Source organism: Homo sapiens, chromosome 1 (genome assembly GCF_000001405.40).
Source record: "Homo sapiens chromosome 1, GRCh38.p14 Primary Assembly".
Classification (NCBI taxonomy): domain Eukaryota; kingdom Metazoa; phylum Chordata; class Mammalia; order Primates; family Hominidae; genus Homo; species Homo sapiens.
This window is the reverse complement of record NC_000001.11, coordinates 180754390-180770636: the sequence shown is the minus strand read 5'-3', so window position 1 is coordinate 180770636 and position 16247 is coordinate 180754390. Positions and strand designations below refer to the sequence as shown.

The following is a 16247-nucleotide window of genomic DNA, read 5'->3' as shown; positions in this document are numbered from 1 at the left end:
ATACTCTGAGCAACCTTCATAGCACAAAACATCTAAAAATGTTGGATAAAATTTAAAAACCATCTGCTGCAGACTAAATGACTGTGTGTCTCCCCAGCCTCCCTTCATATCTTGAAGACTTAATCCCCAATATGATGAGATTTGGAGGTGGGGCCTTTAGGAGTTATTTAGGTTTGGATGAGGCCGTGGGGATAGAGCCCTTATGATTAAATTAAAAAGAGAAAAACACATGAGATCTCTCTCCACATGCACAAATCAAGGAAATGGCATGTGAGGACATAATCAGGAAGGAAGCCCTCACCAGAACCAACCATGCTGGCACTCTGATCTTACACTTCCAGACTCCAGAACCATGAAAAATAACTGTCTGCTGTTTAAGCCAACCTATCTATGGTAATCTGCTGTAGAAGCCCAAACTAAAACATCATCTCTTTAAACATGTAACTGAAAGAAAGGGAAATTTTCAGAAGACAAAAACATAAAACAAAATACAGGAAGGTAGCTGAGCACTGAAGCAAAAGGCTATGTCAAAGACAACTACAGAGATATGCTGACTAATGAAATAATGAAACTATCAAAATTAACCAGTATTTATGTATAAACACAGTAATAAGCTCAAAACCAAAATAATTATTTAAGAGAAAAAATACAGACTCACCCCAGTTAAAAGGGCTTATATCCAAAAGACAGGCAATAACAAATGCTGGCAAGGATGTGGAGAACAGGGAACCCTCATACACTGTTGATGGGAAAGTAAATTAGTACAACCACTACGGAGAACAGTTTGGAGGTTCCTCAAAAAATTAAAAGTAGAGTTACCACATGACCCAGCAATCCCACTGCTGGGTATACCCAAAAGAAAGGAAATTAGCATATCGAAGAGATATCTGCACTCCCATGTTTGTTGCAGCCGTTCACAATAGCCAAGACTTGGAAACAACCTAAATGTCCATTGACAGATGAATGAAGAAAATGTGGTACGTATACACAATGGAGTACTATTTAGCTATAAAAAAGAATATGATCCTGTCATTTGCAACAACATGGATGGAACTGGAGATCATTATGTTACACAAAATAAGCCAGGCACAGAAACACAAACATTGCAGGTTCTCACTTATTTGTGGGATCTAAAAATGGACACAGATGAACTGAGAGAGAGAGAGAGAGAGAGAGAGAGAAAGGATGGTTACCAGAGGCTGGGAAGGGTAGTGGGGGAGGTTAGGGGGTGGTGGGGATGGTTAACTGATACAAAAAAAAAAAACACAAAAAAACAGAAATAATGAATAAGACCTACTATTTGATAGCAAAACATGGTAACTATAGTCAATAATAATTTAATGGTACATTTAAAAATAACTTAAAAGAGTATAATTGGATTGTTTGTAACACACAGGATAAATGCTTGAAGGGATGGATACCTCATTCTCCATGATGTGACTACTATGCATTGCATCCCTGTATGAAAGCATCTCATGTACCCTATAACTATATACACCTACTACATGCCCACAAAAATTAAAAATGTATGTTTTAAAAAACGAAAAAATATTGAGTTAAAAAAAAACAGATATAGATTTTTTTTTGCTGCAGACAATTTGAGAAACATTCTTCCACAAATAAGTTCATGCATTGCACTGCTGGGAGCACCAAAGTTGACCTACTTTTTTCTTTTGAATTGATCTGAATATTCTGTTCTTTCAATTCTATGTGCCACCATAACATCCTTCAATAAATGCCCATTTTACTTTGTCATCCAACTTCAGTTGCTTGCAATGAAAGAACCCAATAAGCATTTCTATAACCTAAAGTAGTACATGGAGGTGAATTAATTTCTACCTACATTTAGGATATCTGTTACCAGGTAAAACACAACATGTGTTTAGGGGAGTTGAGATAGTAAAACCTTAGTTAGGCAACTTTATTATACAATTTACAGCTAAATGCAAAGGAGTAAACTTCTTAGCATAAATGAAATTCTCTTCAGGTGCTTATGTGCTCCTCAGACTCACTAGCCCTACACTTAATATTTTCTACTTAACTTTGGTAAAGGGTGGCATTCCTAAATCCTGCAGAATGCAAGGGCTGATTATTATCATTTCATTGTACAAAATCCTCCTCACAAAAATCCTTCTCACAGTCACAGAGAATTACATAAATCTAATTGTACTCATGTTTTCAATCTAAATGCCACTCACGTGGCATTCCCCAAAAGATTATAATAGAAATAAATGCCATTATGGGACTTGAGGGTCTCCTACAGAAGCATCAATTCTGACCATTTATTTTTGGTACATAAAGTTCAGAAACCTATAAATCGTCTATGAATGAAGCAAATCCTCCTAGAAAGATATGAACAGGACATAATATGTAGTCTCTAGAATTGACACAGCACTCAAACTAAAAAAAAAAAACTCTATAGTAAATCTTAGTTTTAGGTCAAACCTCTACTCATTCAGTTTAACTGAAAATTTGTTTAAAAAGTTTCTTGTGGGCCGGGCACGGTGGCTCATGCCTGTAATCCCAGCACGTTGGGAGGCCGAGGCGGGTGGATCACGAGGTCAGGAGATTGAGACCATCCTGGCTAACACAGTGAAACCGTGTCTTTACTAAAAATACAAAAAATTAGCCAGGAATGGTGGCGGGCGCCTGTAGTCCCAGCTACTCGGGAGGCTGAGGCAGGAGAACGGTGTGAACCCGGGAGGTGGAGCTTGCAGTGAGCCGAGATTGCGCCACTGCACTCCAGCCTGGGCAACAGAGCAAGACTCCGTCTCAAAAAAAAAAAAAGTTTCTTGTGATAAGAGTAATAAACCTTCATTATATAAAAACATCAGTGCTCCTAATCCTCATGACAATCTCAGCCACTATACTGGCGTATTTTTTCTATTAATACATATGCATGTGTACGTACTGTACAGAATCAGGGTAATAATCTGTGTGTAAAATATCCTTTTATGTAATATTTTGTGAGGTATACTTTCCCAGATTATATACTCTTTAAAATCATAATTTTAACAGCTTCATAATGTTCTTTCACCTACATGTTCTAGAGTTTATTCCATTTCATATTATTTAAAATTTACTTTTTTTTGCTACTTTAGACAATGTTAGAATAAACTATTTTACCCATGCTATAGGAATCCTGCAAGAAAAGAGAATGCACTAAGGATCACCAGTTTATGTATTTTAAAAATTCCTACACTATCAAAATGACTGAACAGATCCATCCTTCAACAGTTTATTCTCGCTTGAAAACAGCAATTAATTCCTGTTACTATTCTAATGAACAAAATTTCAATTATTTTCTAACAGTTATGCCTATGATATCTAAACTCAGCTTCCTACTATAATGGTTTTATTTTGAAGGGAGTGAGTGGGAGCTTTTACTCATTATTAAAACTCTTCTGATTATATTGCTTTTAAGCTGGAAAGTTTACTACAAAAACTTCTTTCTTACTGAAAAGTAACAAACAGAACTTGTCTGGAACTCAATTAGTAGGATTCCCCTCCCCCTTTTAAATCCAAATAGCCATTTGTAGGCTCTAACAAGAACTTGGTCAAGTGAGGAATGGAGAGAGCGAGAAAAGAAGGAAAAAGAGGATGTCCTTCAGAATTTACTTTTTGTCTTTTGAGCTGAGCATGTCTTTATAGCTTCACCATCAGAAGTTTTATGTAGCATCATGACTATGGTCACCATATATGGGACAAATGTAATTATCTGGTAACAAAACCTACATTAAGCCAGGGTATGAATAAAACTTTTGTCAAATGGAGTTAGGAAGCAAAAATAATAAATTTATAGATCACTGTTTCACTATTTCACCCCAAATGTAAGAAATAATAAGGCATAAAAAATAGATGCTAAGTTAGGGATACAAAATGAAAATGTACTTATTGTTGATTTTCATTTGTACTTTTTCTCCCTGAAATCATTTCTCCTCTCCAGAACAAATACATGTTTTTACTTTTAAGCCACCAGAACTCTGAACTTATTCTCCACAATTTATTTTAAATTACAATTTCACAAAAGGTTTTTTTTTAATGTTAGAAATACTTTACAATAACTCACTTATGATTGTGACGACAATTTCTTCTAAAATACTTTTTGAAATTATATTTCTTCCCTTTAGTTTACATCTCAAGCCTGGGCTAGAAGCACAAAAGTGTATTACTACTTAGAATTATATTTGATAATCAAACATACCCAAATAATGTCTACTGCATGTTTATTATGTACCAGATTCAGCATTTCTTTCCTTAATGACATCAAAATACACTCTGTGCATCAGAAAAGTAATGTGATTTACCAAAACTATCTTCATTCTTGCTAATATTAATTTCAATCCTTCCCATCAGCACCAATCTGTACAGAAAATATCTCTTACTTGCCTAGGTTGCATTTTTTTGGAAATGTGCACATTATTGCCTCATTGGTCTCATAGCATTAGGGTATGTCTATATTACCAACAAATGCAGATATTAAATAAGACAACAAATACTGAATCAAAATTTACTAAATTGGGAGGCAGGAGGGAATGATGACAGAGATAGTGGACCAGGAAAAGAAAAGTTAAGTTCTACTTTAAATCCATTAATGATAACTTATAAGACCACAGCCAGTTAAACTCTATATATCTCGGTGTCTTTTGTTTTTTCTTTTTTCCTACTGTCTCTTAAATTTCTGCACCAAAGAACTGACTGTCTTCTTGAAAAATATGTTAGCACCATAAAGAAAATGAGAATGATGAAATGGTAAAACTCACAGTACTACCAATACACTAAAAAGTTCAGAAAAAAGGGAGCATATTCAGTCAGCCCTCTATATTCATGGGTTCCCCATCCTTGGATTCAACCAACCTCAGATTCAACCAACTGCAGAACGAAAATATTTGGAAAAAAAAGAAAATAAAAAATAATACAAATTTAAAAACAATACAACTATTTACATAGTATTTACATTGCATAAGGTATGATAAGTAATCCAGAGAAGATTTAAAACATACAGGAAAATGTACTTATGTTATATGTAAATACTATGCCATTTTATATAAGGAACATGGGCACCCACAGATTTTGATAGATATCTGAGGGGAGTCCTGAAACCAACCCTCAACACATACCAAAGGACAACTGTATTTGAAAGTAGTTGTAGATGGAACTTGACCTAGATTTTCGGAGGCTAAGAAAGATCTAGTAGTCAGAGAGAAGAGATATAAACAAATAAGGAAAATAGTTTGCATAACTGACTTAGAACAGAATACTGAAATCAGTCCAGCATAATGCATGAGCAAGTTAGTAAGAAGATTAGATTGGCTGGCATTGAGGCAAATGTAAAGTTAATTTGGAATTTGGCAGACTATACTGTGGATATAAAAAAATGACTAGAGCCAGACCAGCCAGGTTTAAATCCTAGCTCTTCCATTCACTGAGCACTCACACAAGTCACTTACTCTCTGCACTTACCTCATCCATAGCACTGTTGCGAGGATTAAAGGAGGCAATGCTTGTAAAATTCTTATAACAGTTCCTGCACATAAAAAATTATCCATAAGGGCCGAGCGCGGTAGCTCACGCCTGTAATCCTAGCACTTTGGGAGGCCAAGGCGGGTGGATCACGAGGTCAGGAGATCGAGACCATCCTGGCTAAAACAGTGAAACCCCGTCTCTACTAAAAATATAAAAAATTAGCTGGGTGTGGTGGTGGGCGCCTGCAGTCCCAGCTACTCAGGAGGCTGAGGCAGGAGAATGGCGTGAACCCGGGAGGTGGAGCTTGCAGTGAGCCCAGATTGCGCCACTGCACTCCAGCCTAGGCGACAGAGCAAGACCCTGTCTCAAAAAAAAAAAAAAAGAAAAAAAATTATCCATAAGGCTGGGCACGGTGGCTCATACCTGTAATCCCAGCACTTTGGGAGGCTGAGGCGGGTGGATCACTTGAGCTCAGGAGTTTAAGACCAGCCTGGGCAACACGGCAAAACCCCACCTCTACAAAAAATACAAACATTAGCCAGGCATGGTAGTACATGCCTGTAGTCCCAGCTACATGGGAGGCTGAGGTGGGAGGATTGCTTGAGCTCAGGAAGTCGAGGCTGCAGTGAGCCATGATCGCACTACTGCAATCCAGCCTGGGTGACAGAGTGAGACCCCCATCTCAAAAAACAAAAACAGAAACAAAAATAACAAGAAAGTTTTAACAGTTTAAAAAAAAAAAAGATTACAGGTTTAGTACCCTCTTCCAAAATGCTTGGGACTAGAAGTGTTTCAGGTTTGGAATTTTTTTGGATTTTGGAATATTTGCATATATATAATGAGGTATCTTGGAAATAAAATCTAAGTCTAAACATGAAATTCACTTATGTTTTATATATACAACTTACACACATCGGCTGAAGGTAATTTTATACAATATTTTTAATAATTTTGCGCATTAAACAGCTTGTGTACACTGAACAATCAGAAAGCAAAGGTGTCACTAGCTCAGCCACCCATGTAAATGATCTGTGGTTGTTTGGCATCACCATCAATCCCAACTTTGAATTTATACACTATAATGACAAGCAATCACTCTCTTACACATATTCACACATAAGTACTTATCAGGAAAAATTAAGGCATACCATTAACAAAGTGAAAAATAATGCATTCACGGTAAAAACACAGTAGCATCACCAGAATATCTGTATCAGCTGTTAGACAACAGCAACAACCTACAATTCTATGTTTTGATTAAAGGGTTATTGTGTACACAGTATTTTATTTTTTTAGGTGAGATAAAATATTGGAAGCAACTGAGGGACCAGGAAGTGGGTCCTCTAGGGATAAGGACACATCTGCTGGATGGCTTTTTAAAGTGTTTCCTCCAGAGTCATCTGCTTCATTAGCAACAGTTTTTGATTTAGAAGTCACTCTTTAATTTTATAAGCTGACCAATATATCTTGTTCTGTTATGAATGCATGCTGCTCTAGTCCTTCAATAAGCCCATCACATATTTTTGCCATGTCACATATGGGCACTTTTTCTACTGTGTTAAACATCATCATCTTCATCATTGCTCTTATCACAATCACCTTGATTCAGAAACATTTATTTCACCACTGGTCAACAAATGAACAACTGGAGTCTCAGTACTGATGTTAAAAATGTCTTCAATATCCATTTCTTCCAGCTTACCCACAGACTCCGAGGGTATACTTTTTGCATATGTAAGGAGGTCAGATATCATTTTTTCCTCACTTGACATACAAAATCCTTCAAAGTCACCACCTTGTTCATCATCATCATTGAAAATAGTCACAGGCCAGAGATTATGCCAAGTATGCACAACTGTGTCTTTAGTCACTGTGTTCCCAGTATTGGCAACAGCATACACAGCATCCTTCATGCTAAACTCCTTCTGCAAACCTTCCACATCCATGCCTCTGTTCACTGTTTCTAGCATGCTGTTCAAGACAGTGTTTTTATATTTATTCTTCATTAATCTAAATATACCTTGGTCACATGGGTGAATTAATGAACATTTGAGGGGAATTCCACGGCATAAACACTATTTTGATGACAATTTCAGCTGGAGGATGAACAGCTGTCAAGGAATAACAAAATCTTCCGGTTGTCATACAGTCCAGCTTCCCAGTGAACGCAAGTCATTCGTGTAAAATGTTTGTGAAACCAATCAGAAAAAATGTCGCTGGTGATCCATGCCTTTTTGTTGCATAAGAATAGACTGGCAAGAAATTCATTCTTTAAAAAAAGTGTAAAGATGCAAGCTTTTTACTATCACAGCAAGTTTATAGTTATACATGTCTGCTGTATTAGTACATCCCAGTAGAGTTACTCTGTCATAGGCATCCTTAATTCCTATAGGAACTATCTCATCAGCTGTAGTCAGTGTCTTTCTGGGGCAATAACACCAAACAGTAATGTTTCATTAGCATTATAGACTTGTTCTGGTATCTGATTTTCATCAGCGATCCCTTGGAAAACTAGTCAATTTCTCTGCTGCTTTGTGATCAGCAGATGCTCATTCACCACAAATCTTTAAAAAGTTAAGGCCAGCCTGTTCCCTTAATTTTTTGGTTCACAGTTCCCTTTAATTTTTAGTCCACCATGAAAGATCTTTGCTTGTTTTATGAACAGCATACCATTAAATGGCATGTATTCACTGGAATGCTGATGGGTCCACTCTTACAATGTATGATCAAGATAATTCATTTTTAGCTTTATGCAGTTTTTCTATTTTTAATTAACTTCTGTTCATAACGTTCACCACAGAACTTCAACAGTTTATATTTCTGTTTCTTCTTCATGTTTTATTGAGGTAAAATATACATACATAATTTGCCATCTTTACCTTTCTTTTTATTTATTATTATTATACTTTAAGTTTTAGGGTACATGTGCCCAATGTGCAGGTTTGTTACATATGTATACATGTGCCATGTTGGTGTGCTGCACCCATTAACTCATCATTCAGCATTAGGTATATCTCCTAATGCTATCCCTCCCCCCTCCCCCGACCCCACAACAGTCCCCAGAGTGTGATGATCCCCTTCCTGTGTCCATGTGTTCTCAGTGTTCGATTCCCACCTATGAGTGAGAACATGCGGTGTTTGGTTTTTTGTCCTTGCGATAGTTTGCTGAGAATGATGGTTTCCAGTTTCATCCATGTCCCTACAAAGGACATGAACTCTTCATTTTTTATGGCTGCATAGTATTCCATGGTGTATCTGTGCCACATTTTCTTAATCCAGTCTATTGTTGTTGGACATTTGGGTTGGTTCCAAGTCTTTGCTACTGTGAATAGTGCCGCTATAAACATACGTGTGCATGTGTCTTTATAGCAGCATGATTTATAATCCTTTGGGTATATACCCAGTAATGGGATGGCTGGGTCAAATGGTATTTCTAGTTCTAGATCCCTGAGGAATTGCCACACTGACTTCCACAAGGGTTGAACTAGTTTACAGTCCCACCAACAGTGTAAAAGTGTTCCTATTTCTCCACATCCTCTCCAGCACCTGTTGTTTCCTGACTTTTTAATGACAGCCATTCTAACTGGTGTGAGATGGTATCTCATTGTGGTTTTGATTTGCATTTCTCTGATGGCCAGTGATGATGAGCATTTTTTCATGTGTTTTTTGGCTGCATAAATGTCTTCTTTTGAGAAGTGTCTGTTCATATCCTTCGCCCACTTTTTGATGGGGTTGGTTGTTTTTTTCTTGTAAATTTGTTTGAGTTCATCGTAGATTCTGGATATTAGCCCTTTGTCAGACGAGTAGGTTGCGAAAATTTTCTCCCACTTTGTAGGTTGCCTGTTCACTCTGATGGTAGTTTCTTTTGCTGTGCAGAAGCTCTTTAGTTTAATTCGATCCCATTTGTCAATTTTGGCTTTTGTTGCCATTGCTTTTGGTGTTTTAGACATGAAGTCCTTGCCCATGCCTATGTCCTGAATTACCGGTATTGCCTAGGTTTTCTTCTAGGGTTTTTATGGTTTTAGGTCTAACATTTAAATCTTTAATCCATCTTGAATTAATTTTTCTATAAGGTGTAAGGAAGGGATCCAGTTTCAGCTTTCTACATATGGCTAGCCAGTTTTCCCAGCACCATTTATTAAATAGGGAATCCTTTCCCCATTGCTTGTTTTTGTCAGGTTTGTCAAAGATCAGATGGTTGTAGATATGCGGCATTATTTCTGAGGGCTCTGTTCTGTTCCATTGATCTATATCTCTGTTTTGGTACCAGTACCATGCTGTTTTGGTTACTGTAGCCTTGTAGTATAGTTTGAAGTCAGGTAGCATGATGCCTCCGGTTTTCTTCTTTTGGCTTAGGATTGACTTGGCGATGCGGGCTCTTTTTTGGTTCCATATGAACTTTAAAGTAGGTTTTTCCAATTCTGTGAAGAAAGTCCATTGGTAGCTTGATGGTGATGGGATTGAATCTATAAATTACCTTGGGCAGTATGGCCATTTTCACGATATTGATTCTTCCTACCCATGAGCATGGAACGTTCTTCCATTTGCTTGTATCCTCTTTTATTTGATTGAGCAGTGGTTTGTAGTTCTCCTTGAAGAGGTCCTTCACATCCCTTGTAAGTTGGATTCCTAGGTATTTTATTCTCTTTGAAGCAATGGTGAATGGAAGTTCACTCATGATTTGGCTCTCTGTTTGTCTGTTATTGGTGTATAACAATGCTTGTGATTTTTGTACATTGATTCTGTATCCTGAGACTTTGCTGAAGTTGCTTATCAGCTTAAGGAGATTTTGGGCTGAGACAATGGGGTTTTCTAGATATACAATCATGTCATCTGCAAACAGCGACAATGTGACTTCCTCTTTTCCTAATTGAATACCCTTTATTTCCTTCTCCTGCCTGTTTGCCCTGGCCAGAACTTCCAACACTATGTTGAATAGGAGCGGTAAGAGAGGGTATCCCTGTCTTGTGCCAGTTTTCAAAGGGAATGCTTCCAGTTTTTGCCCATTCAGTATGATATTGGCTGTGGGTATGTCATAGATAGCTCTTATTATTTTGAGATACGTCCCATCAATACCTACTTTATTGAGCGTTTTTAGCATGAAGGGTTGCTGAATTTTGTCAAAGGCCTTTTCTGCATCTATTGAGATAATCATGTGATTTTTGTCTTTGGTTCTGTTTATATGCTGGATTACATTTATTGATTTGCGTATGTTGAACAGCCTTGCATCCCAGGGATGAAGCCCACTTGATCATGGTGGATAAGCTTTTTGATGTGCTGCTGGATTCGGTTTGTCAGTATTTTATTGAGGATTTTTGCATCAATGTTCATGAAGGATATTGGTCTAAATTCTCTTTTTTGGTTGTGTCTCTGCCAGGCTTTGGTATCAGGATGATGCTGGCCTCATAAAATGAGTTAGGGAGGATTCCCTCTTTTTCTATTGATTGGAATAGTTTCAGAAGGAATGGTACCAGCTCCTCCTTGTACCTCTGGTAGAACTCGGCTGTGAATCCATCTGGTCCTGGACTTTTTTTGGTTGGTAAGCTATTGATTATTGCCTCAATTTCAGAGCCTGTTATTGGTCTATTCAGAGATTCAACTTCTTCCTGGTTTAGTCTTGGGAGGGTGTATGTGTCGAGGAATTTATCCATTTCTTCTAGATTTTCTAGTTTATGTGCGTAGAGGTGTTTGTAGTATTCTCTGATGGTAGTTTGTATTTCTGTGGGATCGGTGGTGATATCCCCTTTATCATTTTTTATTGCGCCTATCTGATTCTTCTCTCTTTTCTTCTTTATTAGTCTTACTAGCGGTCTATCGATTTTGTTGATCTTTCAAAAAACCAGCTCCTGGATTCATTAATTTTTGAAGGGTTTTTTGTGTCTCTATTTCTTTCAGTTCTGCTCTGATTTTAGTTATTTCTTGCCTTCTGCTAGCTTTTGAATGTGTTTGCTCTTGCTTTTTTAGTTCTTTTTATTGTGATGTTAGGGTGTCAATTTTAGATCTTTCCTGCTTTCTCTTGTGGGCATTTAGTGCTATAAATTTCCTTCTACACACTGCTTTGAATGTGTCCCAGAGATTCTGGTATGTTGTGTCTTTGTTCTCATTGGTTTCAAAGAACATCTTTATTTCTGCCTTCATTTTGTTATGTACCCAGTAGTCATTCAGGAGCAGGTTGTTCAGTTTCCATGTAGTTGAGCAGTTTTGAGTGAGTTTCTTAGTCCTGAGTTCTAGTTTGATTGCACTGTGGTCTGAGAGACAGTTTGTTATAATTTCTGTTCTTTTACATTTGCTGAGGAGTGCTTTACTTCCAACTACGTGGTCAATTTTGGAATAGGTGGGGTGTGGTGCTGAAAAAAGAAATGGAACGCTTCACGAATTTGCGTGTCATCCTCATGCTAATCTTCTCTGTATCGTTCCAATTTTAGTATATGTGCTGCCGAAGCGAGCACTACCTTTTTTCTTTGAGATGGAGTCTCGCTCTGTTGTCCAGGCTGGAGTGCAGTGGCGCCGTCTCAGCTCACTACAACCTCCGCCTCCTGGGTTCAGGCTATTCTCCTGCCTCAGCCTCCTGAGTAACTGGGATTACAGGCATGCGCCACCATGCCTGGCTAATTTTTGCATTTTTAGTAGAGATGGGGTTTCACCATGTTGACCAGGTTGGTCTTGAACTCCTGACCTCAAATGATCCACCCACCTCGGCCTCCCAAGTGCTGGGATTACAGGCATGAGCAACCATGGCTGGTCCATCTTTACCATTTTTAAGTGTATACTTCAGTGGTAATAAATACTTTTATATTATTTATTTTCCCTTCATATCCCCTCCTCCCCTTCCCCGTCTCTGGTAACCACAAATCTATTCCTTATTTTCATAAGATCTATTTTTTTAGCTCCCACATATGAATGAGAACATGCTATATTTATCTTTTTGTGCTTAGTTTATTTCACTTAACACAATGGCCTGCAGGTCCATCCATATTGCCGTAAAGGACAGGATTTCATTCTTTTTTAAATGTGGCTGAATAATGTGTGTGTGTGTGTGTGTGTGTGTGTGTGTGTATCCTTCTATATGTTCATATATATGTATACATATATCCTTCTATTTCTTTAGGACATGTATGGTGGTCATTCCAACACCATACTCTTCTGTAAGACATTTCACATTTAAACTACTATCCAGTTTCTCCAATAGCTGGGCTTTCTCTACTACATATCAACATCAACATAAAGGCTTCCTCTTTTTCTTATCACTATAACCCATAGGGGTATGTACAGGCTTTTTTTTTTTTTTTTTTTTTTTTTTTACATTTTCAACAATATCTTTATACCACAGAGCAGAGAATAAGCAAAAAGACAGTGAGGCCAGGGGTGGGGACTCACACCTGCAATCCCAGTGCTTTGGGAGGCAGAAGGATCGCTTGAGGCCAGAAGTTTTAGATCAGCCTGGGCAACACAGCAAGATTCTATCTCTACAAAAAAATTTGTAAAAATTATCCAGGCATGGTGGTGTGCACCTGTAGTCCTACCTACTCAAAAGGCTGAGGCGGAAGGCTCTCTTGAGCCCAGGAGTTTGAGGTTGTAGTGATGCAGTGAACCATGATTGGGCCACTGCACTCCAGCATGGACAAAGAGCAAGACCTTAACTCTTTAAAAAAAAAAAAAAAAAAGGCCTAGTAACTTTCCATCTTCTTTGAAAGCCATCAGTTGCTGTTCCAAACCAATAGCATTAGCTGCATCTTTAGTTTTTTTCTGATGTATTCAAAATCCACTGACATTCTTCATTTGTGAGATCTTTTAAAATCTAAAAAGTTGTTTCCAAATTTTTTATTGTAGAGGCAGAAGGATTTATGTGTGTATTTTTCAGGAGCAGCAACAACAACAAAATCCCGTTTCCAAATACCCATTTCCAAAGTGCTGTCTCCATTTAGTATACTTTTGAAAAACATACTTTCTTACTTATTGTTGAAATGTCACCCCTACTTTGAAAGATAGATTAAATTTTAGCTGATGCTAAAATACATATGGAAATGCAAGGAACCCAAAAGAGCCAAAATAATTTTGAAAAAGAAGAGTAAAGTTGATGAATTAATACTTCCTGATTTTAAAACTTACCATAAAGCTATAATATCATGATAGCATAGTACTGATGTAAGAATAAACATAGGTCAACGAAAAAGAATTGAGAGTCCAGAAATAAACTCTCACACTTGTGTTCAACTGATTTTCAACAAAGGTGACAAGATAATTCAATGTGAGAAAGACTAGTCTTTTCAACAAATGGTGGTGGGACAACTGAATATCATATGCAAAAGAATGAAGGGAGAGTCTTTCTATCATGTGCGAAAATTAATTCAAAATGGAGCAAAGACCTTCCTCTTTTTCCAGTATCGTTTTCATTACTAAGTATCACCCACAATGCTATCATTACATTGCTCTTAGAAAATAAAAATAAGAAAATCTTCATGACTGAAGATAAGACAAACCTCTCTTACATATGACATTAAAAGCACAATGAATGAAAGAAAAATGAGATAAATTAGACTTTATCAAAATTTATAACTTTTGTTATTCAAAGGACACCATCAATAACATGAAAAGGTAAACATAGAATGGGAGAAAATATTTGCCAATACAACTGACGAAGGACTTGTATTTATAAGGAACTCTTATAATGCAATAATATAAAGACTACACAATTTTAAAATGGGCAGAGGATGTGAATAGACTTATCCCAAAGAAGAAATAAAAATGGCTAATAAGCATATGAAAATATGCTCAACAGCATTACCCAGACGATAAATGCAAATAAAAACTGCAATGAGATATCACGTCATATCCTCCAGGATGGCTATAATTTTAAAACTTAGAAAATGACAAGTGTGGCAATCTGAAACACAGCTTCAATCTTTCTTTGATTTTTTAACCTTTACACTTCAGAAGATTGCAAGACAGTTATTTTGTAAAATGCGCCTCAATTCAGGTTTGTCTGATGATTCCTCCTGATTGGATTTAAGTTATGCATCTTTGGCAGGAATATCACAGAAGTGATGCTCTATTCTTCACACTGCATTTAATCAGATGGCACATGACAGACTTGTTTGATTACTGGTGACTGTGATCTCTTGATTAAGGTGATGACTTAAGTGGGAGACATCTCCACTATAAATTAATTTGTTTTCCTCTTGTAATTAATAAGCACTTTGTGAGGAGGTACTCTGACCCTCTCCCAGCCCTGGAATCAGGAAGAGCTCCTGAGTACCTTCTTCAAGGAGCTCTGATTTGTTTTAATGAAGAGAGGTTCAGTCAGATCTACAAGGTGACATACATCTTCCTAAAGATCACTGCACTATGCAAAGTCATTCAATAAAACCACAGGGCTTATGAGAAAAGTGGGGTTAGAAGCACAAAACTACAAACCTTCATCAGGGCACATAAAAAAATAGGAACCTAATAAAAATGGTATCACAGTTTTATAAATGTTAAAGGTTAAGAAATACATAAATACCATAATAAACATGGCATTTTACTTTTGAAAAAGACCTGAAGTTTGCTTGTGGAAGTGGGTGTCAGAAGGGTTTTAGTTTATGGATTATTGTGAAGTAGTGCAGAGGGCTAGCTATATGAAATCAGGGAAAGTTTACACCAGTTGTAAATGAGTGTGACAAATAACACAAGCAGTAACTGAAGTAGCTGGTAGATGTGTGAGGTGTGCACATGTATGCATTTTGTGTATTTCTACACAGCTCGGTTCAGCTACATACAGTATCCTGAGTTCACCTAGTGTTTCTCAAACACAAAATCATGCAGAAATAAATGTAAAATTTACATTGTATTTCACCTGCTTCTTAACTTATTAACTGCACTGAAATAAACTCATGATGCAAAACAAATGTTACAGCAGAACTAATTATATTTAGAAACCAACAACTGGACACTGAGTGTGCTCACTGTTATTGGGATGTCGATTTCCAGGCCCTCTCAGTGGACAGAGCTAAGCATATGTGTATACATCGACACATGCTACATCTATCAATATATGTTGAAAACCAAGAGATTATAGTAATATCTCTTAGCCAATCTAACACCATTAGGGTTCATTCTAGTTTTCTCCTTCTCCATATCGGTAACTTCCTTCTCTAAAAGTTAGAAACCTGGTTCCCATTACTTTGAACATATTTCCTTATTCGATCAATTCTATGTGTGTAATATCCCATGGTTGCAGTGACCCACCCCCACCCATGCAGATATTATCCTCAAACCATTCAGGCTTAACACCATGTGCTCGGCTTTCGGACTAAATTATCACAGGGGAGTGAGGGGGACAAAAGACTTTTTAAAGAAAGGAAGACATGAAATTTTTTGAGAAAGGAGAAAACCTACTCTCACCACATATTTTAAAATACAAGAAAGGAGGCCGGGCCCGATGGCTCACACCTGTAATCCCAGTACTTTGGGAGGCTGAGGCAGGCAGATTGCTTGAGCCCAGGAGCTCAAGACCAGCCTGGGCAGCATGGCGAAACCCTGTCTCTACAAAAAAATACAAAAAGCAGCTGGGCATGGTGATGCGCACCTACAGTCCCAGATACTCGGGAAGCCTAGGTGGGCGGATTGATTGAGCCCAGGAGGTTGAGGATGCAGTGAGATGAGATCGCACCAGTATACTCCAGCCAGGGTGATACAGGGAGACCCTGTCTCAAAAAAAATAAAATAAAAACAAAAAATACAAGAAAGGAGAAGAGTACAGGACAAACTTGGGTTTCATATCATTCTGTATTAAATATTTT

The 16247-nt window shown here is 37.5% G+C and overlaps 1 protein-coding gene and 1 pseudogene across 4 annotated transcripts in view; both read right to left on the bottom strand.

Moving 5' to 3' along the window:
• XPR1 (xenotropic and polytropic retrovirus receptor 1) overlaps positions 1 to 16247 on the bottom strand; it is a 258258-nt gene that overhangs the window by 119643 nt on the left and 122368 nt on the right. The window lies entirely within an intron of this gene.
• LOC124904687 (uncharacterized) lies at positions 11820 to 11915 on the bottom strand (annotated as a pseudogene).